Source organism: Homo sapiens, chromosome 7 (assembly GCF_000001405.40).
Source record: "Homo sapiens chromosome 7, GRCh38.p14 Primary Assembly".
Lineage (NCBI taxonomy): Eukaryota > Metazoa > Chordata > Mammalia > Primates > Hominidae > Homo > Homo sapiens.
This window is the reverse complement of record NC_000007.14, coordinates 9,960,598-9,986,725: the sequence shown is the minus strand read 5'-3', so window position 1 is coordinate 9,986,725 and position 26,128 is coordinate 9,960,598. Positions and strand designations below refer to the sequence as shown.

The window sequence follows — 26,128 nt, the reverse complement described above, 5'->3', positions numbered from 1 at the left end:
TTTCTTGATCATCAGCTAGATTAGCGAATTAATGTATTATTTCAAATGTTCATGTCAGTTATGACTCATGTTTCAGTTTGTAATTTCATTAGCAAGCTCTTAATAGAAAGCCTCCTTTATGTGGTAAATTTAAAAAATAACTTATAGAATGTACTATAAAATAGAGAAGTAAAGTAATGATAAAATTCCATTAAGAAGCAAGATTTAAATAGGCTAGATATAGATCTTTTCTTTATTTATATCCTGCTATTTCAGTTCAATTTATTAGCAACTGATAGTAGCTGTCATTTATCACAATATAATATATAGTAGATATTTTCTGCACATTTTTCTCATTTTTTTTTCACTTAAAGTTAAGCCTTATTATTAGTTTGACTATAATAACACTTCAAAATCTAGAGAGGTGTACATGTTTTAAATCTTTTAAATTCTATCCATATTAAAAATCTACTTCCCAGGTAAGTGTAAACACCATTTTCTATCATTTACAGATAGAAAATGCCCTGTGATGTCATCACTCATCCAATTATAATAATCTTCTCCAATCTTATTGATCTTTCAGGAAGGCAGATGTCAGTATCATTGGTTAACCATCAGATATGATTTGTATTTGGACCATCTTCAAGTTGCATAAATTGTTCTTCAGAGAGAATACCTGTTATTTTAAATTTCATCCATTTAATATTATCAGTGCCAAAAAAAGAATACATTTCACAAGACGACATCACAAGACAGAGTAAAATGATTGACATTTTTCCCAGAGATATTCAAATTGTAACTGAAAAAGAAATATTTGAGCTAAATTTTGGAGATAATAATGGCAATAATACTAGTAGCTAATATTTATTGAATGGACATTTTGTTCCAGATATTATAAAACACATTTTACATATATGTGTATATAGGCATGTTTGTTTTAATGCTTGCAGGAGTAGGCATCATAATTATTGTACTTTTTGTTAATTCTGCAATGGGTCAGAGAAATTAAGTAATTTGGCAATGATGACACCACTAGTCAGACGTTAATTTGAACCACGCACAGTCTAAGTCTAGAACTTGTGTATTTAACAGTTGTGCTACAGTGTCTCCCATTATGAAAAATAAATAATTGAAGGAGGCTTAAGCTAAATAGTAGATTTTTTAGCACTGACAATTCTATTGAATTGGAGAAGATGGAACAGATATGAGAGATATTTTTGGTAAATATTGCTATTTTATGGTGACTACTTAGATAATGGGAGTGAAAAAAGAAAAGTATACATTTGGTTTGGAGACTGTGTAAGCACTGAATAATTTAACAGCTAGTGAACAATGCACCACTAACCTGCAGAGAACCATGGCCTATTGCCTCAGAGATATTCATATAAAGTTTTAGGGGTGTGTCTATAGGTTTATTTCTGAAATTTTTAATGCTTTGTGATATTATTTGAATAAAATACTAAAGGTAATAATAAACTTGTGTAAACATTATAGCCTGATCTTAGGTATGTTTTACTATTGTAAGAGATGAGTCTGGATCTTTAATTGAGTACGGTGGTACTGGAAATACAAAGGGAGTTAGCAGAAATAATTAGGGTTGGCAAGAACTTACCTGCCAAAAAGCAGGTTCAGCACAAGATGGCTATCTGGGGTGACCTTTATGTCCTCAGCCCTTATATCCTCAGTTCTTACCAGTCTGAGTAAGAATCAAATCAGGCTGATAAGCCTAATTTCATATTGACCATACCTGCCTATGCATCAACTCAGACTTCCTCAAATATCTAGACCCATTGTATACCAGTTCTTAGGGAATACCCTAGAGATACACCAAAATAAGTCTTTTTATATCTTCCTCTTTGGTCTTCTTATTGAAAGACAACTTCTTAGGTGGTGAAACTACTATCGTTTAAAACATTGAAACTGCTGTGAAACCATCTGAAAAATATAATAAAAAGTTAATGTCAAAAATGTAAAAGGAACATACAACTCAGTAAGAAAAAACCCAAATAACCCAATTTAAAATGGGAAAAAAGAATTAAATATTTATCAAAAGAAGACATACAATTGGCCAAAAAGTATATAAGAATGTGATCGACATCATTAATCATCAGGTAAATGCAAATTAAAACCACAATGAAATGTTACCTCACACTTGTTAGGATGGCTATTACCAAAAAGAGAAGCAATAGCAAGTGTTGGGGTGGGTTTGAGGAAAAGGGAACCCTGTACATGATTGGGAATGTAAATTGATACAGCTATGATTGAGAACAGTTTGGAGGTTCCTAAAAAAATTAAAAATAAAATTACCATGTGATCCAACAGTTCCATTTCTGAGTATACACCTAAAGGAAATAAAATCAGTACCTCAAAGAGATATCTGCACTCCCATCTGTATTGGAGCATTATTCATAACAGCTAAGATATAGAAGCAATATAAAATGTTATTCAGTTCTAAGAAAGGAGAGCCTACCATTTGCAATGATATGGATTAACCTGGAAAACATTATACAAAATAAGCAAGACACAGAAAATAAATACTGCATAATCTCACTTATATGCAGAATTTTAAAAAGTCAAATACAAAGAAGCAGCAAATAGTACAGTGATTACCAGGGGCAGGGAGATGAGGGAAATACAAAGATGTTAGTTAAAGGATACAAAGTTACAGTTAGGTAGGATGAATAAATCTAGAGACCTAATGTACAGCTCAATGACTATTAATAATACTGAATTGTGTACTGGAAATTTGCTAACAGAGTAGATTTCAGGTGGCCTCACCCCGCCCCCCCCCCCCCCACACACACACAAATGCAATAGGCTGTGGTATTTGAAATTCACCAGTGTTACAGTCTTTGAATAGCTCTTTTGCATAAACTTCTTTCACTTTAAACCACTCTAAGCAACAATTCATCTTTAAGATGCTCTGTCAGGCAAGCTACAGTTATATCTTTGTATGTAATGTTATAGAAAAATTTCTATAAAAAGTACTTCATAGTTTAAAAGTTTTAATGTTGTGACAATCTAATAATAGCCATTGGCTCTGGATCTGAGGTAAGCACCATTCTCAATTTATGACATATATGATGAGGGGGATTAAAAAAAAGGTGTACAAGTGAGACAAGCTGTGTCAGATCTAATGTGAGGTTCGAGGGTTTGATCGGTTTTTGTCACCTGTACAGAAAAGAATGTTTCAAAATGTTTTATAATTTATATTAGCATTATTTCATAATGATTTCCTATAAAGGACAGCAAATACATTTACAAATTCTGTTCCTCAGTTTAGATTAAAATGTTTTTAACGTTTTAAATATTACCTTTATATACTTAACTTTTAAATGTACTAAGTTTAGTAGATAATTAAGTTAAATTATATTAATCTTAATAGAATTTTGAATAACCGCACCACTGGAGACAATAAAAGTCCTCTTCCCTAACTACCCCTTATGCTCTGCCCCCAGCATCACTGCCCCCTGTGGACTAACGAAAGATAACCCTACATGATGTTCTTGACTCTGCAGTCTAGGACACTTCATCTGATGATTTAGATCCGGATGTTGTTGTATAAAAACTTCACAATTAGAACCTATTCTAATAGTATTTTAAAGTGGAAGATAACGTTAGAATTTTCAAAAAATGAGGCTAAATGTTTTTCTTAGCAACCAAACCCATATTTGGATGCAATAGATAATTCATCTTCAAAACCAGATTTGTTCTCCTGTTGACATATAAGAAACTAATTACTCAGAATAAATATAGAAAAATTATGTAAGTGAAATGAAAACATCCATATGTACTAAGGTAAAATAAATTTCTTATGCATGTGATTTTATTCATATGTCAAATTATATATGCTTTCTCAGAAACTGAAATGATGGGATGAAATGAGCGATTATTATAAAGTGATGATATGTATGTTCCTTGTTGACCAATAAGTTACTTGTTAATCTATACATCATAAGTTTATTGATTCTTAATTCAACTTGAAAACATACTATGGGCAAAAGTAGATGTACATCACTGGGAATAAAACTGAGAAAGATGTGATTACTGTCTCTCTTGACTTGCAGTCTTATTTTAAACACATTTCAAAAAGCACACAGTGGTATTTACCTAATTGCAATTTATATAAATTCCATGAACTGAAAATATGAGATGCTATGTAATCGGTAATGTGGGCTCTAACCTATTATTTTTAAATATTAACACAAAATATTGTATATATTATAACAATTTTCCATTTGCATATTGCCTATAAGTACTATATATTTCCAAACATTTCTGAATTATTTAATTTTGTTTTTATTGGGCATCCACTTTTGCAAGGGCCTTACTATTGCACATATTAATGTGCTTTTCCATTTGATACATGGACAACTCTGGTAAGCATTAAAAATATTATTCAATTATTGTATATTAAACAAGTGAGTTTTTAAAGACTAATTTTGGTGGGTTTACAGCTTTGCTATAATCTCTGACAAAAGAGATTTTATAATTAAAGTGCTGACACAATGAGTACTATAAAAGCATGAACAGCCTTGCTATAAAAATGCTTATGATTGCTTTGGCTTCCTTTGCAGAGCTTGTGCTACAGAACTGCTACAGTAGGAGCAGTTGTGGTTGCTGATAATAGCGTGCCGTACACAGGATTCTTATCTGCTCATCAGATGCTATTTTTACATTATGGTTGAAACTTTTTCCTCCTGCACTTAAAGTGGCATTCACTCTATATTTCCATTCTGGGATGATAGCTTATAATGAGCAATCTCAATTAAGCTGAACCTCAAGATGTCCAACTTTTCAATAAAGTAATAAATTAGACTTGATGGCAAGTGACTTTGACATGTACCATCACACCATATCAAACCAAAGGCATTTACAACACTTGTAATCCACTTGGAATTTGGATGGAAAACTTACCAATAGATTTTTCAGGAAATTCAAGAACTGTTGGAATTAAAGAGGTTAGGTGAAGTTTCTTCTACTGAAACTTGTTCCATTCTCCCTGTAACCTAATGAGAAAATAACAAGCACAGGCTTAAGTCTTCAGGGAGTAATGTGGCTTGAATATGAGAAGAACAGAAACAGTATAACCTGATAGTTGAGACTGAATTGAGAAAATGTAGCCTTGATTTCTAAAAGTCAAATAATTTTCACCTCAAAAACATTAGCAATACACAATTTGTTAACTTGATCACTCAGTTGTAAATTTAATAAACTAGAGGTGGCAGTGCTTATTGATTGGTTAATTTTAAGGGACTCTTTCTTTGATACAAACATTCACATTCGTCAATACTTCTCAGTTCTAGGACCCTTCTCCTTTTTTTTTTTCCAGATTGTATTTTTGTAATAGTCTTGAGTTCTCTGCAAAATGAATATGAGGATGTTGTGCATGTGTGGAAATAACATGACGTTATATATCAGCTTGAAAGTAGTCAAAGACAGAAAGTACAATGGGGACTGGAGACAGCAGTGAGTTTTTAAACAAGGCCGTTCATTGGAATTCTAGGCAAGGAAATTGTATCTGCCACCAGGCATTTACACCAGGCAAAATACCAGAAGATTATCTTCCTAAAAAAAACTTGATATGATAAGGGATTTAGAAGAATTAGGACAGTTAGTATTAGCACTGCACCTCAGAGTAAAGCCTTCTAATTTAGTATTTAGATAATTCCAGGGTAACAGGTGGCTACCTACCTACTCAGCCTAATGTAAACCCATCCACTCACCTATCTACAAGGCTCTACAAATATTCCTGTCCTCTCATTTTATGCTATTAATAAAAAATCAAATCACCAGATACTTGAGAAATGTACAAAGGAAAAGAAAAATTAGCCTACCACACAGGAAAACAGGCCCACAGAAAATTGAGCTGGTTTGGGAAATTATTAATAGAGTTTTAAGCATGTATGCATGTGTGCACATGAACATACACGGATATCCTCTCAGATTATCTGTGATATTTGATAAGATTATGCATTATATTATTTTTACATATGACTATTATATATGTATACTATATATTTATGTACATATGTATATATTATGCATGTACATAATACACATATATTAGTATATATATGCACACACCCACATATATATAATTTTTATATATATGTATGTGTGTGTATGTATATGTGTATATATATACATATACATACACATATATATGTATATATGATGTAAAACTCAGTAAAATGTTTGGAAGCTATATCCAAAGAAATGTTTTAGAATATATGATCAAAGTAGAGTCAGAAAATTTGGGGAAAAGTTATAATTTATAGAAATTTTTTTGTAGTACCAGATCTCAAGCTATTTGGTAAATATCTAAAACGAAAATAATTAAACCTATTTCTTAGCAGCTAGCAGAACAGGAATGAAAGAACAAGAGAAATAATTGCTTTTTTTATTTATTTGTATGCACATTTCATCAGTTAGCTCAGACATCTTTTCTATGGTTGTTAATTTCTCAGTATTAGCAGGGAAGTCTGACATAGATCTATTTAATTTATTGGTGATAAATTATTTATTAAAAACTCACTTTTTGGAATTGTTTTTATCATTTTATGCTCAGAACATTATGTACAAACAGACTTTATTCACCATAATGTTGATAGATTCTTTAATTACTTATCTGGAATAAGAGAGGCAGTCTTCGGCTGGGCGCGGTGGCTCACGCCTGTAATCCCAGTACTTTGGGAGGCTGAGATAGGCGGATCACGAGGTTAGAAGTTTGAGACCAGCCTGGCCAACATGGTGAAACCCTGTCTCTACTAATGATACAAAAATTAGCCAGGCATGATGGCACACGCCTCTAATCCCAGCTATTCGTGAGGCTGAGGCAGGAGAATCGCTTGAACGGGGAGGTGGAGGTTGCAGTGAGCTGAGATCAGGCCATTACACTCCAGCCTGGGCAACAGGGTGAGACCCCCATCTCAAAACAAACAAACAAACAAACAAACAAAAACGGAGAGGCAGTCTTCTAGATCATGTGTCAGCAAACTACAAACTACATCCATATACCAAATCCAGCCCGCTGCCTGTTTTTGTAAACAAAACTTTACAACACAGCATATCCGCTAATTTATGTATGGCGTATTGCTGCTTTTGTGCTACAGTGGCAGAGTTTAGTAGTTACAACAGATACCTCAGAGTCCGGAAAGCTGGAAATATGTATTATCTGGCTCTTTTCAGAAGAAGTTTGCCAATCTCTGATCTAGATTGTGGTTCTCAAAGTGTGGTTCCCAAACCAGCAACATTAGTATCAGCTGGGAACTTCTTAAAAATAAAAACTCTTGTGCCCCATGCAGAATTACTGTGTCAGAAATTTTGGAGGTAAAATCCAACAATCTGTTTAAAGTAGTCTTCTAGGTGATTCCAATGCACACTCAAACTTGATAATCACTGCTTAGGGTTAGTGTTGGTAAAATATGTCCTGTGGACTAAATCTGGCCCTTTTCATGTTCTTTGTAAGCTTTCATGCTAAAAATAGTTCTTACATGATTTTACTGGTTGAAAAAATTCAAGAAGAGAATAATGTTTTATGACTCTTCCAAATTGTATAACATTGAAATTTCAGTTGTGCATAAAGTTTTATCAGAACACAGCCACATTCATTTGCTTACATATTGTCTCTGACTCCCTTCACACTATAATGACAGAATTGAGTAGTTATAACAGATACCAAATGGCTCATGGAACTTTATATATTTGCTTATCTGGCACTCCATAACAAAAATTGCCACCTCCTGGCTTAAATCATAATCAAAGTGTATTTTATAGAACTGCTGAATTAGAAAAAAATACAGGACTTCAGAAATTAGAAATTTACACATTGAGGTGAAGTGCCTCCCCCAAGATCCTATCAAGCATCAGTGTGGACTCTAATCTGCAGGCACATCTGGGCAATGTCAAGCTGTCAGAAGCCAAGGCTCTGTTTTCATTAGGGCTCCTAGGCTCCTGAGAAGAACAGGGAAAGAACAAATTAGGTGGAGAAAAATAATAAGTAAACAAATGACCAGTAAATTTTAAACAGAGAATAACTGCAATATCAGCAGAAATTAAAACTCGTCACTTCTAACATGAGGTTCTAAAAAGTGAAAAGTGGTAACAGGTGTAAAATCGTGATCTTTACTCCACTTTCTTTTTGAAGCTTTCTTGCTTCTGTCAGGAGGCCACTGAAACACACTCCAAACCTATCTGAAATGTGTTTTTTACTGTTAGTAGGGTTATGCATAAAGAATTAATATTTTTAAAGGACATGGATTTTTAAAAGTCGAAAAGAAGGTAGAAACTAATAAATAAATGGTGTAAAATTTCCCCTAGCTTGCTAAATCCAAACTAACAAAACGTTCTAGTTAATAATTCAGAGCTCTTGAACTTAAATTCTTGAGAATTTCACATGCACCCATTGCTCATCTTGCACTTGCATGTAATGGTTGCTATGGGTGATCCAGAAATGAAACCATTCATGGCACTTAATTTAAAACTAAAACAGCTAGCAAGAATCTTTCCTCTCAGAGCATGTTGTCATAGAAGTAAATGAAAAGGTTGGGAGACTTTTCATTTGCTTCTGTGATAACATGAACTACTTGAACTAAGGAACATATTAATGTTTCCTCTGAAGCTTTCTATTATGTGTCAGGAGCCCCATTCCAGGATATCACACTGGAGGTGATGGAAAAAGACAGATGATAGAATGAAACGGTTGGTCCTAACACAAAATAATCAGGCATCTTTATATTTCCACTTTACATTATAAGAGGAAGCCTGATTAGATTCTGTGGTTTTACCTAAAAATAAACCTGGCTCAGGAGGAAGTTTTTTTTTCTATATGCAGTGGTTCTTATTATAAAAGAATTCCTTTTAAAGGCACAGGCAGATCTTCACAGGATACATATTATACTTCTCATATTAAAATCCAATAAACTCTAGAAGGGAGTTCTCACATATCATCTCATAAGTTTCAAATATAATAATAATAAAGTTTTTCTTAGAAATCTCCATTTGAGAGTCTTGAATATGACCTATCCCAAAAAAACTGTAAAAAATACAATTTTACTATTAAAAAATGCAAAACTTTATATTTAAAATTAGAATACAGACCTACTAACCACATCCTTTACACAGAGTCTGAAATAGAATCTAAAAATTATATTAAAGACTAGAAAGTAATTTTAGACTACACTTGCAAGTAGCCTCTAAATCAATGGTCTTTTGATTAATTGTGTTTTGGCTAGCTAAAAGGAAATAATGCATAAAAGAATACTATACTTTAAAGATTATAATAAAGAATTCTGCAGAAAGAAGATTAATACCCTGAATACTGGATAAATTTCACATTTGATGGCAGATTCATATAAGAAACAAAGCTATAAATGTACTAGACAAAAATATGTGTAAACACCTTAAAAATCATGGACCAAGGGAGCCTTTCCAATTATGGCTCAAAATTCAGAAGTCATAAAATTAAAGATTGAGAAATGCAACCAAATAAAAGATTTTTTAAAATATGCATAATCATAACAGCATAATGAAAACCAGAAAACAAATGCCTAACTCAAAAAGCATTCTTAATTTATATTTCAAAGAAGTTACCACTCTAAGATACAAAAGTCTTAAAAATTTATTAAAAATACATTCAATTGAAAGTACAAATAGACTAACAATAAAATAAACAGTGTAAAGAACAGATATAGAAAGGGCAAAAAATGACAGAATGCTCATTCTCTTATAATAAGAGAAATTAAAATGGAAATGTTGCAGATATTCTATTCCCTTTCTGATAAAATTGTCAAAAACTTCTAAGTTTGATTATATACCTTGTTGGTAAGAAAAATAGATAATCTTACCCAGCAAGCAGTGCTATAAATTGGTAAGACAACCTAGAACAGAGGTTTTGAATTAGAATGATTCTGTCCTCCCAGAGAAAATTTGGCAATATCTGTACATGTTTTTGATTGTCATAACTGTAGAGAGGGTTGCGACTGGCATCTAGTGGGTAAAGGCCAAGGATACTGCTCCATGCCCTACAATACATAGGATGGCTTCCATAAAAAATTATCTGGCCAATAATTAAAAAGTCGATAGTGTTGCTGTTAAGAAACTTTGCCCTAGATTTTAATTTTATAATATCGTTCAAACATTACATCACATATGTAGTACGTCTGTCACATCTAGGAATTTAACCTCCAGTGGCCAATAAATGCTATATATATATACACATATATATATTACACATATATATACATAGATATACACACATATATACACATATATACACATATATACACATATATATACACATATATATACATATATATATACACATATATATGTGTGTGTATATATATATATAAAACCACATATATATATATGGTTATTCAACAAAGCATGGTATAGTGCAGCAAAAAAAAAAAACTTGGTCAATAAGTATTAAAATATGATGCACCTATAAGCATGAGTAAAATGAATTGAGATGCTCAACATGTTTTATTAAACAACTATGTCTAAGTGAAAAATTGCTGGTAGTGATATACAATATGCTAACATTAATATTGGAAAAGAGGAAAATAAGCATTTATGTTCATATTTTTTATGGCTTTCTGTAATAAGAAAGCTCTGGGCTGGGCGTGGTGGCTCACGCCTGTAATCCCAGCACTGTGAAAGGCCAAGGTGAGCGGATCACTTGAAGTCAAGAATTGGAGACCAGCCTGGCCAACATGGTGAAACCCTGTCTCCACTAAAAATACAAATTTAGCTGGGCATGATGGCACGTTCCTGTAATCCTAGCTACTCGGGAGGCTGAGGCAGGAGAATCGCTTGAACCTGGGAGCCCAGATTGCGCCACTGCACTCCAACCTGGGCAACAAGAGCCAGACCCTGTCTCAAAAAAAAGAAAAAAGAAAAAAAAAAAGAAAGAAAAAGCTCTGGAAAGATTCAGACCACTGAAAGGAGAATGCTTGATTTCAGTTATACCACACATTCAGAACAGAAAACACTGTCACCTCTTTATGGTATGAGAGCAATGATCAATCATTTGCTGAAAAGAATAACTTAAAGGCAGAATATTGAAGGCAAATGTCTCTAAAGAACCTTTAATAAGTGGAAAAAAAACTAATAAGAAGAATAAATAACAAATGAAGAAACACATCAGATTTTTTACTGTGTTGTCAGTCTAAACAGATCAAACTTATTTTTGTGTGTTTTTTTAAAACATACTGTGGCAATGCCCAGTGGCTGTTCCATACATCTTCATTAGGGAACTGATTTTGCCAGGACAGCTGAGAAGGGAAACTCAAAATGCTATCTTGGATAACTCTAGGACATCCAAATAATGGGGGGAAAGGACAACTATGAATAATTCTACAAGATAAGAATGAAATTTTAAGTCAATGGATCTGTGAAAATTGGCAATTAAAGTACAGGCAAATCTTGTAATAGTAATTATTTTTAATATTAGCCACAATCGGTGAGAAAATAACAGACAGTGATTTTCTTCACAGTTCCAACTTCCAAGATACACTGCTATGTGGTGTTTCTTCCAAGCTTTAATAAGAAATATGATGATAAATGGCCCCTGCTAATGTTTTTAAGGCAGCCAAAATTAGAAGATAGAGTTTTTGTTAATAATTGTGTATTAGACAGAAGGAATCTTGGAGCATGCAGAGAATGACAAAGAGCTACTGTTGGTTTTAAAAGATACTGTCTAAATGACTTTTAAAAAAAAGAAACCTTGTCTTCATTATCGTCAGAACTGTAAAAGTTAATTTTCTTTCTATTCTGTTTACTTCTCCCCTAAATAAGCTGCCATGTACCTATATTTTCAGTTGCCTACTGTATCAAAATATTTACTATTTTTTTTAAAAAAAATCTACTGATGGAGACAACATGTATTTATTGTAGTAATTAAAACTTTGAGACAATAAAGTAAAAATGATGAGACATGTTAGTTGTCAAGCTATTAAGTGATAATGTGATGAAATAACTCTTTTTATAACAGGTTATATTGATATCTAGCAACGACTCTAATTGAAAAGTAATGTCATCTTAACAATTACACATGTTCTCATGAATAGACCAAATATATATTCAGTTGCAATATCTCTTAAAGGAGAGATGTTTTTGGTCCTTAATAGAGCATGTGTATTATAATATTATTAATTATTTTAAAATACTGCCAGCATCCTCTTAAATGCACTAACATGCAACTATAATCTGCTGTCTGTTTGATAGCTGAAACTAGCTTAAGTTTGAAAACTAACATTTCATTTCTTTAGATTTACTTGTAATTACTCCTGCCTAGATATTGTTCTTCCTGATTCTGTTGACAATTAAAGTACAGATGAATCTTGTAATTATTATTAACATCAGCCACAATCAGTGAGAAAATAACAGAGAGTGATCACCATAGAGGCTGTCTTTGAAACCAGGGAGAATAAGATAGTACCTCAAAGTAGACAGCCTGCAGCACATGCAGAGAGCTACTTTAAGCCACAAATCTCCATTACGTCTTTTACAAATGACAGTAGTAGCTACTCCTGAATCACCATATTACTAGAAATTGGAAAGAATGTTAAAATATTTACAAAAGCCAGGAAGATTTTCTTCTCAGGAATTATGCTACAATTCACCGAGGGTGTTAAATGTATTATTTATTTCTTCTTGGTATATTTATTGCTAGCAAAACTGGCCTACGGCCAGGATATTCCACAGGTCCTCTGTTGCTCCGGCATGCTGCCTGAGCTAGAAGTGTCTTTTTAAATATTGTTAGACAGTCTTGGTTCCCTCCGTGAAGTCTATAGACTAACACCAAGAAGCTGACATTTAACTAACAAATTTTCACTGAGATGAATGATTTGAGTCAAGTGGCATAAAATGACTTCAAAGTGCTCAGAAATTGAATCCAAGAATCAAACTATACTTAACAGCAGCCTTCTGGGTCTGCTTTATATCCATGTCAAAAGTTCAACTTCTCTTGTACGGGGGGACTTGAGACCAATGCTATGCATGATAATTTCTGTAGTCTTAATTATTCTATCAAATCTTAATGCAAATTAGAATTTTCAAGGACTAGAAAGCTCTAACATTATTAGGAGAACAAATAAATATACACACTACATACATTCTAGACACAATGCTGTATAGAATCTTGAGTCAGGTGCTTATTTATAATACTTAGTTACCGTGGTGATAGTATAATACCAAAGTTAAGGAATCAATTTATATTCTCTTAGTTTAGTCCCATTGACTTTTTAATTAAACTTCTGTTTTGAGATAATTGTAGATTCAATGCATGTAAGAAATAATAGAGAGAGATCCCATATACCCTGCACCCAGTCCTCCACAATGGTAAAATCTTGCATAACTGTAGTATAGGATGTTGGCCTTGATTCAATCCACCTATCAAACTCGAATTTCACTAGTTTTACATGCACTCTGTTCTGTACTGCCTACTACAGTCAATATAAAGAACTATTCTGTCCCCACAAGAATCTATTGTGCTGCCCCTTTATAACCACATCTATCTCCTTCCATCCACGCAATTCTCTAATACCTGGTGACCACTAATATTTTTCATCTATATAATTATTCACTTCAGGAATGTGCATAAATGGAAATGTAGAGTATATATAACCTTTTGGAACTGGCTTTTGGCTTTTGTTTTTTCTCAGCACAACTCTCTGAATATCTATCCAAGTTGTTGCAAGTACTAATAATTCCTTCTTTTCATTGTTAAGTAGTATTTCATGCTATAGATGTACTGGAAATTGTTTAACAATTTACCAGTTGGAGAACATTTTGATTTTTTTTTATTCTGTGCTATTAAAAATAGAATTGGTGTGAACACTTATGCACAGTTTGTTATGCAGACAAAATTTTTCATTTGTCTGGGATAAGTACTCAAGAATGCAGTTGCTAGGCCATATGGTAATTATGTGTTTAGGTTTATCAGAATTTGTCAAATTGATTTCCAGAGTGGGTGTATCATTATACATTCCTATCAGCAATATATAAATGATACAGCTTTTTTATGTCTTCTTCAGCATTTGGTGGTGTCACTTTTCTAAAAAAAAAAATTAGCCCTTCTGACAGGTGTGCAGTAATCTCATTGTAGCTTAAATTTGCATTTTTCTAATAGATTTTGTTGGCTTATTTCCATCTGTATGTCCTCTTCTATGAAATGACTATTCATGTGTTTTACCCTTATTTTCTAATTGAATTGTCTATAGGATTTTTGTTGTTGTCGAATGTGAGAATGCTAAACACTAGTTCTAGATACTCTTCCTTTATTGAATATGTGATATATTAGTCAATTTTCACACTGCTATAAAGAAATACCTGAGACTGGGTAATGTATAAACAAAAGAGTTTATAACTCACAGTTCTGCGTGGCTGGGAAGACCTCAGGAAATTACAATCATGGTGGAAAGTAAATAGGAAGCAAGGCACATTTTACATGGCAGCAGGTGTGAGAGAGCAAGAGAAAGAGAGCAAGCCAGCAGGGAACTGCCAAACACTTTTAAACCATCAGATCTCTGGGGAACTCACTCGCTATCATGAAAACAGCATGAGAGAAATTGCCCCCATGTTCCAATCACCTCCCACCAGGTCCCTCCATTGACATGTGGGAATTATTATTTGAGACGCAATTTGGGTGGAGACACAGAGTCAAACCATATCATTCCACCCGTGGATCCTCCCAAATCTCATGCCTTTTTCACATTTCAAAACCAATCATGACTTCCAAACAGTTCCCCAAAGTCTTAACTCATTCCAGCATTAACTCAAAAGTCCAAATCCAAATTCTCATCTGAGACAAGGGAAGTCCCTTCCACCTATAAGCCTGTAAAACCAAAAGCAAGTTAGTTACTTCCAAGATACAATGGGGGTACAGGCATTGGGTAGGTACTCCCATTTCAAATGGGAAAAATTGGCTGAAACAAAGGGGCACAGGGCCCATGCAAGTCTGAAACTCAGCAGAGCAGTCATTAAATCTTAAAGCTTCAAAATGATCTCCTTTGACTCCATGTCTTACATCCAGGGCACATTGATGAAAGGGGTGGGATCTCAAGGCCTTGGGCAGCTCTACCCCTGTGGATCTGTAGGGTGCAGCCCCCAAGGTTGCTTTCACAGACTGGCATTGAGTGCCTGTGGCTTTTCCAAGTATATGGTGCAAGCTGTCAGTGGATCTACCATTCTGGGGTCTGGAGAATTGTGGCCTTATTCTCTTAGCTCCATTAGGCAGTGCCCCAGTGAAGACTCTGTGGTGGGGCTCCAACCTCACATTTCCCTTCTGCACTGCCCTAGTAGAGGTCCTCCATGAGGGCTCCACCCCTGAAGCAGACTTCTTCTTGGACATCTGGACATTTCCTTACATCCTCTGAAATACAGGCATAGGCTCCAAAAGCTCAACTCTTATCTTCTGTGCACAGGCCCAACACCACATGTAAGCCACGAAGGTTTAGGGCTTGCACCCTCAGACTAATGTTCCAAGCTCTACCTTGTACCCCATTAGCTGTGGCTTGAGCTAGAGTGGCTGGGAGGCAGGGCACCATATCTTGAGGCTGCACAGAAGAGCAAGGGCCCTGGGCCTGGCCAACAAAACCATTTTTCCCTCTTAGCCTCTGGGCCTGTGATGGAAGGGGATGTTGTGAAGATCTCTGACATGCCCTGGAGACATTTTCCCCATTGTTTTGGCTATTAACATTTGCCTCCTCATTACTTATGCAAATTTCTGCAGCTGGCTTGAATTTCTCCCCAGAAAATAGGATTTTCATTTCTACGTGATGGTCAGGCTGCAAATTTTTCATACTTTTATTCTCTGCCTCCCTTTTAAATATAAGTTCCAGTTTCAGGTAATCTGTGAACACATGACTGAACACTTTTAGAATCAGCCAGGTTACATCTTGAATGCTTTGCTGCTTAAAAATTTCTTCTGCCAGATACCTTATATAATCTTTCTCAAGTTTAGACTTCCACAGATCTCTAGGGCAGGGGCAAAATGCCCCCAGTCTTTTTGCTAAAGCATAGCAAGAGTGATCTTTTCTCCAGTTCCCAATAAGTTACTCATTTCCATCTGAGACCACTTCAGCCTGGACTTCATTGTTCATATCACTATCAGCATTTTGGTCAAAACCATTCAATGAGTCTCTAGGAAGTTTCAAACATTCCCCCATCTTCCTATCTTCATCTGAGTCCTCCAAACTCTTCCAAACTCTGCCTGTTATCCAGTTTGAAAGTCACTTCCATATTTTTAGGTTTCTTTATAGCTCCACTCTTGGTACTGCTATGAAGTTTCACGTATTAGTTCATTTTTACACTGCTATAAAGAACTCTGAGATGGGGTAATTTATAAACAAAAAAGGCTTAATTGATTCACAGTTCCACATGGCTGGGAAGGCCCCAGAAAACTTACAATTATGGCGGAAGGGGAATGGGAAGCAAAGCAGGTCTTACATGGCAGCAAGAGAGAGAGAGACAGACAGACAGAGAGTGAAAGAGAATGCCAGGAAGAGGTGTCAAACACTTGAAACCATCAGATCTTGGGAGAGCTGACTTACTCTCATGAGAACAGCAGGGGGAAAACCACCCCCATGATCCAATAACCTCCCACCAGACCCCTTCCTCAGCCCATGAGGACTACAATTCAAGATGAGATTTGTGGGGAGACACAGAGCTAAACCACATCACATGACTTGCAAATACTTTCTCCTAATCAGTAGCTCACCTTTTTATCCTCTGCACAGAGAAAATATTTTCTTTACAGAGCAAAAGTTTTTAATTTTGATGAGGTCCAGTGTATCAATTTTTTATTGTATAGGGTATTCTTTTGGGGTCAAGTTTGAATGTTGTTAGAGCTAGATATGAAGATTTTCTCTTATAGTTTTTCTAAAAGTTTTGTAGTTTTATATGTAAGTTCATGAAATATTTTGAGTTAATGTTTGAATGTGGTGTGAGGTTTACTTCAATATTTGCTTTTATGCCTACTGCTCCATTTCCATTTAATGCTTCATTTCCATTTAATGAAATCAAATTTATGAATTGAATTCACTAAATTGATTTTAACTTTTTTGAAAAATCAGTTGGCAGTGTTTATAAGAGTCTATTTCAGGATGCTTTATTTTGTTCCATTATTCTATGTATCTGTTTTGCAACCAATATCACACTGTCTTGATTACTTACAAACTTAATAAGAGGTAGACTGGTTCCTCCTACATCACTCTCCTTGTGGAAGGTAGTTTTAGCTATTCTGGGGCCTGTACCTTTCCATAAATATTTTAGAATAAGATTTTCTATGTCTTAAAAAAAAACTTGTTGAGATTTTGATTGAAATCTTATTAATCTGCAGATCAGTGTTTCCTTTTATTTTGAGCGTACAGGCTTTGCTTACCTTTTTGCCTAATTTTAAGGCACCTTTTTCTGTTGGGTTAATAAGGTTTTTCTTTTGGGTTCTGTTGGGTCTTTTTAAGAATTACCTTAATTAGAAATTTAGGTAAGCACAAAAACTATTCTTACTGGGGAAAAATGAAATTTTTAAAAAATATATAGAAGATAAAACCCTGAAACAAAAATCTCATTGAGTAAAATAAATATTTTCAGCTAATTTTATAAATTATATTACAAATTGAAGGTCATATATTCATTAGCTCAGGCTGCCCTAAGAATATGCCATAGACTAGTGGCTTAAACAGTATAATTTTATTTTTTAACAGTACTGGAGATTGGAAGCCCAAGATTAAGGTGCCAGCATGACTGGTGTCGAGCGAGGGCTCTCCTATTAAGTTGCAGACAGTTGCGTTTTTGCTGTGTGCTTAGTGGCCTTTCTTGAGACACAGTGCTCATGGAGAGAGTGACTCTTCTTATAAGGACATCAAACCTATCAGATCAAAGCCCCATCTTTAGGACCTCATTTAACCTTGATTACTTTCTTAGAGGCCCCATCTCCAAATACAGCCACATACAAGGGTTAGGGCTTCAGCTTATGAAGGGAGAGGGTGCACAAAGATTCAGTCCGAATGAAGTAACCAAAGCTTCTGAAAATGTATAATCATTGTTATCAGTTTCATGGTGTGTGACAGGAGGTATCCTAAGTATTATAAGTAATGACTCTCCTAATCCCCTAGCTGCCTTTAAGATGTAGGGGCACTATTATTATACCCCTTTATAAAGTTAGGCCTGGTTAGTCTTTTTTTTTTTTTTTTTTGAGGTGGAGTCTTGCTCTGTCACCCAGGCAGATAGGTCACTGCAATCTCCGCCTGCCAGGTTCAAATGATTATCATGCCTCAGCTTCAGAGTAGCTGGAATTATAGGCATGAGTCACCATGCCCAGCTACTTTTTGTATTTTTTGTAGAGATGGGATTTCAACACATTGGCCAGGATGGTCTCAAAATTCTGACCTCAGGTGATCTGCCCGCCTTGGCCTCCTAAAGTGGTGGGATTACAGGCATGAGCCACCATGCCTGGTATGGATAGTCTGAATTAAGTAACTTGCTCAAGGCCACTCATATAAAGTTGGTAGAGTTTAGATTTGAATTCAGCTAATCTGTCTTCAGAGTCTGAGCTTTTAAATACTATAGCATTCCACCTCTCTGTAGCAAATTATTGGCAAGAGTGTGAAAGAAATGTTGGTTGTTACATGTACTTCAAATAATTCCTGAAAAAGAGTAAATGCTTTCAACAGAAGCGTGAAATAGGAAATATGGCAGAAGTCTTGTGATCTTTTCAGCCCACAGCAATTCTACATTTTAGTATCATTAATAAGGATGCAAAATGAGAAGGGAAACCTAGAGATGACCAGAGAGTCCATTTCTATAGGAGGAGATGAACCAAACAGACTCATTTTTCTTTTGTGGAGTTCAAAATAAACCAGTAAGTGGTAAACACACAATCTGAGTTGAACAAGAAATGAAAGCATGCCAAGGGCAACAAATCGATTTTTAATTTTTGTGTGTACAGCTTTCCTCTCCTTGGTGTCGCACTGTGATGAATGAGGTGAACAGCAGACCATCTGCAAATTACAAACCCTAGATAAATTATGAGCAGAGTAACAATGCATTAAAACCACAACTTTCTTTTCCAGTAACTGCTTTGGCCTTATTATATGGGATTTTCTGCCCAGAGACACAGAATCTGTGCCATTTAGAGGCTCCTATATGCACTTTAAACTTCAGCCTATATATATTGGTAAAGAGTTAAGTTTAGAGGCCATTTAAATGTGTTAACATTTTGCTACCTTTCCTTCTCCATTTAGCACAATAACCTTCTAACCAGCAAGAATTAGGGAGAGACTGAAGTTTCTTGTAAAATTTTTAAATAATGATTTTCCTTTAAAAAATCAAATATGTGATTGAATAACATTAAAATTATATTCCTCTCTAACATACATTTTAGTTAATTTATTACTTTTTTATTAATTATTTAGATTTTTGAATAACCAGAACACAAAACCTAAATTTATTATAAAGTATTTTACAGATAATTATTTTATTATTATAACTATCATATCATATTTTATAGGCATTTTCTTCCTTCCTTAGTTTTCTTTTTTTTAAAAAAAACTGGCTTACAGTACAGTTCCTCTCTCTACTCTTGGTAGAGCACCTGGCAAAATGCAGCGGAAATGCATTCAGAGAATCGCAGAAATTTAGATATGGAAATAACGGTATAGACCGTATAGTCTAACTTCCTCAGTATGCATGTATTTTTTTAAATAAGGGAAAAAGAAAAAGTGGAAATCTTCTCCTAGCTTACCCACTAGAGGCAGACTACATACATAATATTTTATCCATGCCATGAAAATCTATGCAGGGAAAAAATAAAACCAAAAAAAATGTAACTGTTTACTGACTTTGATAGGTGTCCATGATATATTCATAACTGACATTAAATAAATCAGCATAAAAAACAGTAAAATATGCTTTTAAAAAGTACAGAAAAATATAGGATAATGCAATTACTGTAAAAATAATTAAAATTAAAATAACTCTGTGTATATATTTATACTTCAAATGTGTATCAGTGTACACCACAAACGGCAGCATTTATTCCATGAGAAGGGCAATAGAAGGAAGAAATGAAGATACAATGTTGCTCTTTACTTAAAATTGTCCTGTGTCTACTACATATTAATCTGTAATTAATTTGAAGAACAAAACCTGGGAAAGCAGGGGGAAAAGGAGAGAAGAAAATCAAGATTAGGGAACATTAAAGCAGCTTTGTGACATGGAAAGAGAGAAGGAAAAGGGGATGTTGAGCTTCTAAATGAATAACAGTTGCCTGCCCTGCCATTCCTGTTCAGGTGGTACCCATGGAAAGCTCTGGAATAAATTTAGCTTGAGCTAGTTACACCCTGAGAAACTTCCAGTTTTATCTTCCACAGAACGTAGTGAAGCTGTCTAGTGGAAGTTCACTCCTTTGCTCTTTCATGAAATAAGCGAGAAGAGAAATGACATCAGTTTACCTCTGCTTAACATTTTTCTGTATAATTGGGTACCCCTCATAGGAATTCTAAGTCCCTATCCTGTACCCCTAAATTAGACTGATTCTTAAGGTTCTACAATTTCTCAACCTTTACTTCTTTCCATTCTAAATCCATTAGGTTAAGACCTGTGCAAATATACAATGAAATGTTGGTTTGGCAAGAATCAAAATGGATAATCTGCATCTTCTTTTCTTTTGTAGGTTTTTTAAAAATCTCATGGACGCTGGCTTTTACAAAACTTTTTTTGACAGTAGTGGAGAAGGAGTTTTGGTTCAGAATTTAAGCTGTAGATTATAGAGTAGACAACTGCTAATTACTAAGTTTATTTTCTAGGTTTACTCAGGATAAGATTGAATTCAAATTTCAGTGAACTCTTTGTTTTGGAGGTCTGCTAACAAGGGTCCACAGACCAAATCCAACTCATTCTATCACCTGCAAGCTGAGAATGGCTGACAAAATTCAAAAGAATAATAATACTTTGTGGCACATAAAAATTATGCAAACTACAAATATCAGTGCCCATAAATAAAGTTTTATTGGAACAGCAATGCTCATTCATTTACGTCTTTGGCTGCTTTCAAGCTACTGATATAACAGAAGAGTTGAGAAGTTGGGAAAGAAACAGTATAGACCACAAAGCCTAAAATAATTTCTGACTCTTTACAGAAAAAGTTATATATATATAACATAGATATTATATAATATATATTGTATAGTTTTATATATATATAACTGTTATGTATATATAACAGAGTTTGCAACTGTTATGTATATATAACAGCGTTTGTAACTGTTATGTATGTATAACAGAGTTTGCAACTGTTATGTATATATAACAGAGTTTGCAACTGTTATATATAACAGACACACACACACACACACATATATATAAACAGAGTTTACAACTTTTGAATACATATAACTATGTTATGTATATATAACAGACTGTTTTACCTCAATGGTACTTGAACATTTTTCTAACATTATTTCTTCTTTTCCATGCTTCATCCCTACTCCAAATAGAAATGTAATGACTGAGAAGGACTTTTATCTTCAAGGTTCAGAAACTCTGTCAGATGAGCAATTTCTCTGGACTACTAAACAAATGGTTGAACAATTATTACAAAATTTCAAGGCAAAAGAATACTCAGAAATGTGTTCCATTTTTCTGTCGCTTGTCAGAGTTTTTTTCCTTCAGCTGGGCATTGTCCAGTACATGCAGTTATAGACCAAGACTGATCCCTTTCCATCTGGCTGTAGGGCTCTCCCTCACTTTCACTAAGGTTTTTCCACTTGCTATTATTTTTTTCTAAGAAAAAATTCAATTCCAAATTATACTTACCCTTAATAGCAAAGACCATTCTCTATCATCATCAAAGACAGTTAATAAAAATGGACATCATAGTGACTCAGGCAGGAATGGTAACTCCCCACTCATCCTGTCCTAAGACATTTTTCTCTGTTCTTATTAGAGAAAAGCATTTCCCTCCCCAGACCTTTCTGCACCAGCCAGAAAGCAGTAACTGTGTTTGTTGGTGAGTTTAGAGGAGAACCTATATGTGTGGGCCTCAGCCTTTTGGATTCCCTGTCCACAAAGCCCACCTAGTTTATCTACTCTGCCATCATGCACTTTGCTTGAGTGGTTTCTATTGCTCTTGTAAACAATGCATAAAGTTGTCCAGGGGTGAAATTTTAGGGAGCTTGATTTAACTGTGGCATGTCAGCCACATTTATGCTTAGTAAAAATGATAATCTGATCTCCATTATTCTATCTCAGGTATTATATTTTCAGTTTGGTTTCAACCTTGGGAAGGGTAAAATGGGTCTTGGTAATTTTCTTCCCAGTCCCCAGAAACACATACATAAATATTTACTTATCACCTTATACTGTTTTTACACTCAGAAATCCACTGTCAAATATCATTTTCTACAGGAATCTTGAATTTCAAATGAATTTAATATCAAGTGTTGAAGATATAAAAGAGCTTCTAATGCATGGAGCATCCCCTCCTCCAGTTTCCTCTGTACTAGAAGAGTATTATGTATCAAGAAAAGTCAATTAAAAAAAACAAACTCATTGAGGATTCACTAGATGCAAGGCATTATGCTAGAAAATGCAGTAAACTAAAAATAAAAAATAAAATGAAACCCAAAACTAAAGTTGTGATACGAGACAATATAATAAGTGTCACAGTAAAGAATAAGATAGAACGCTATAGCATTTCAAAGGATAGTGAGGTTAGCCAAATCAGAATAGGTTTTATGTGTTGACTACTCGGATATATCGAACTAAAAGATTTTAATGGGAAGAGAATGCAGGGCGGGGAATTCTGAAAATGAAGAGCTGTATTGTAGAAAGAAGAATACACTTGAAAATATCTTCTCATATCTGTTCTTTTCTTACTGACAATCACAAATATTTTAGCTATGAAGTCTGGGCTTTTCAACAGAGTACACTCTGCTTCTTTGTTTTCTTTCCCCTACTTTTTTAAAGACAGGGTCTCACTCTGTTTGCCAGGTTGGAATGTAGTGGTGCAATCATGGCCCACTCACTGCAGCCTTAACTTCCTCGGCTCAAGTGATCCTCCCACCTCAGCCTCTTAAGTAGCTGGGATCACAGGCACCCCACACCATGCCCAGCTCATTTAAAAAAATTGTAGAGAATGGGTCGCTCTAGTTTGTCCAGCTACTCTTAAAACTCCTGGGCTCAAGTGATCCTCTCACTCGGCCTCTTAAAATGATGGGATCACAGGCGTGAGCCCCCATGCCCAGCCTGCTTCCTGATTCTTTATTCCTGTTTCCCTGAACAGGGTTTTCTATACAGTAGGAAGTCAAGTAGGATCATTTCCCTATTCCATCTGTCCTTCAGGATTGCCAAATTTGGCACAGATTAAGAGACTGTGATAGTGCCTGTCCCAATGATAGGACACGATGATGGTCATAAACAGGATATTTCACTGGGGGAGAAAAATTGAGCTACCAAACTGGATAATTAAGGGAAGCCGCTGAAACATTATCCTATAAAGTTCAGCATTTTTTTTTTTGCAGTGGGCTTGGCCTTATTAAATTGAAAATTGATGGAAACGAATGACTCTTAAAGCCTCCCTACAATCGGTGTGAGAAGCAATAGAAATCCAGGGTTTGCTGCCCTTTGGACTGGGAAAGATGGAATTCCCTGGTTCCTTGTCTTGTGTTTCGTTTCACTTCCCACATTGCCAGGAGGATCATCCTGTTTTCTCTAGTAAGAGGCAGGTCAGATAATCTTCTTTATGGTACACTGCGGGAGAGGCAAACCACTTTTTTAACACGTACTTTGATACTACATAACTGACAGTCCCTCAGTGTTCCTTTGGGGCTCCGACTCTTCAGAGGAACAGCCCACTAAATGCAAGCAAGTGTCAGATATTAACATTGAATTAAAACTGAAGGTAAAAATGGGGACACTGGCATAGTCCTGTCCATGAGCTTGACAGGAAATTTATTTTGCTGTAGCTGAAAAGTAATTAACCTCCACTGTGAGAGAATTCTATTACTAGTAGCTATTCTGCCATGCAAAGTGCACTACATGGAAATGTTACAGGCTATCAAGCAGAAACGGCAGATTTGTCTGCATTTTAAACTGAATTTCCATTACCCTATTCTCTTCTCTTCTGTATCTGTACTTCCACACCACCTTCTCTCTTGTTTTCACTGAAGCTGGAAATTGAGACACATATGAAACTTGAAAAAAGGTTTAAATCAAAAGAGTGCTTATAAGGATTTTGTAAGATGTATTCTTTTTTTCTAGTATTTGGCATTTTTAAACAAATAATGTCCTTTGATGTGCTGGAAAAAATGCAGCATTATGCAAAGATACTCAACCATGAATAATTTTATTATGATCATAGCAAAGAAAATCATAATTCAGTGAATTCTATTTATGTTTTCATCTTCAATGTTATATATACAGATATGCACATATACATATATACATAATCTTTATAAGGAATACGTTTGAGGAAATCTACATATTGTCATTTCTGCTATAATGCTTGTTTTGAAAACAAATTTGTTCCAAAGAAATTGATATATTAAGGAACAATTTGAGCATAATGCAAATTTCATGTGTGATTATGCCTGATTTTGTCAGCGAGAAACACCAAGAGAAGGCAGAAAGCTGCACATGGCTGGACTGAGCCCATCAGTAATACACAAAATGCACACAGGCACACAGTCAACTATCTCTCAGCTACCTCAGTTCATCACACATGTTATGAGCCACAAACACCCACATCTGGTGTTAGAACTTTCCTTCCAATTTCAGATAACCCCCTTCCACGACTCCACAATAACTTACATGTCACAACCCTTCCAAGAGCAGCCTCACCTCATTTCTAAGGTAAAGTTGCATATTTATTGAAGTATTTATGCATTCCTTACGCATTTAACTGTGCTACTATCTTCATTATATTACTACCAGTCTTTCATGTGTCACTGATGAAATTTCTGAGTGTTGTTCTCCTAACTTCTTTTCTCCCCTAAGCCGCTTGTTTTTTATTGCGTAATTTGGCATAGAAACACATATGCTGGATTACAGCAGAACTGACTACACTTCTCTTTTCCTTTTATTATTATGATTAATGTATGTGACTCTTGTTTCATCAATAATGAATGTTTCTGAGTTTGCTATGCATTTGTCACATAGGTACAACAATAGAGTAACAAATCATACTTTATTACACTAGAAAAGAAAGAAGATCTCTTCTCCTAGAAGGCAATTGCTAAGGAGAGGGAAACATAATTTTCGGTATTATTACTGATTTTCTGAAATAATAACAGTGGTCACCATTCATAGACACCTTACCTTGACTTGGAACAGTGCCGTGTCCTTCTTTGTGGATTCCCACACCAACATGGGCAATAGGGTAGGATTATCTTCTTTGTCTTACAAATGAGGAATCCAAGGCTAGAGAGCCCAAACAGCTTGTCCAGTGTTTCCTGAGCTATTCAGAATAGAACAGAAAACTTAGAAGAATTCCAAAGTGAAAACTCAATTCTGCTATCTCTAACATCTTTCTTATTAGCTTCAAATATATCCAAGGCTATTAGAATTTGCACTTACACATTATTGGTTTTAGTCTCCTTATTTATAAAATGAGAAAATGTAGGCTCAGGGGATCCATGCACCTTATCCTAGCTCCCCTGATCAGAACTAGAATTTAGAACCCAGGTCATCTACTCAAAGTTCGTTTCTCCTAGCCTGTTGCATTGTGTTTTAAAATGTCAGGGTGAAAAGATAATGAACTCCTGAGAGGATGTTTGGACTCATACCTACTATATGAAAATTCAGCTAATGAATTGTTTTCTTCCATTCTTAAGTAAAATAATCTACATATGTGTGAACTCCCTAAAATAAGGAGTGGAATGAGGAGCAGCTATGTCACATTTGTGCATTTCCAGAAAAAGAAATAACAAAATCCAGTTCCATATTTTTTCTTGGAACAACATCTAGATGTGGCGTATTTTATGGTAATCACTATTTATAACCTACTATTCTGGGAATTGAACTTTACAAACATGAAAGCCAACTTGTAAATTTTTTCTGACAGAGAATGACACTGAGCATTGGAAAGCAGAAAGTGTTGTACATTCTCTCTGGGATCTGTCACTGTTCATGATCATTAAAGAAG

General features: G+C 34.9%; 1 long non-coding RNA gene across 2 annotated transcripts; it reads right to left on the bottom strand.

The window, feature by feature from the left end:
* Window positions 1-359: 359 nt before the first annotated feature.
* Window positions 360-25,776, bottom strand: LOC105375146 (uncharacterized). 2 transcript variants are annotated; one of them, NR_187855.1, is made up of 5 exons: window positions 25,561-25,776; window positions 25,303-25,441; window positions 4,897-4,988; window positions 2,287-2,321; window positions 360-1,914 (listed from the first exon to the last, which is right to left on the bottom strand). It is a non-coding gene; the product is annotated as an uncharacterized LOC105375146 (long non-coding RNA). The 2 variants fall into 2 exon arrangements; NR_187856.1 differs by lacking the exon at window positions 2,287-2,321.
* Window positions 25,777-26,128: the final 352 nt, after the last annotated feature.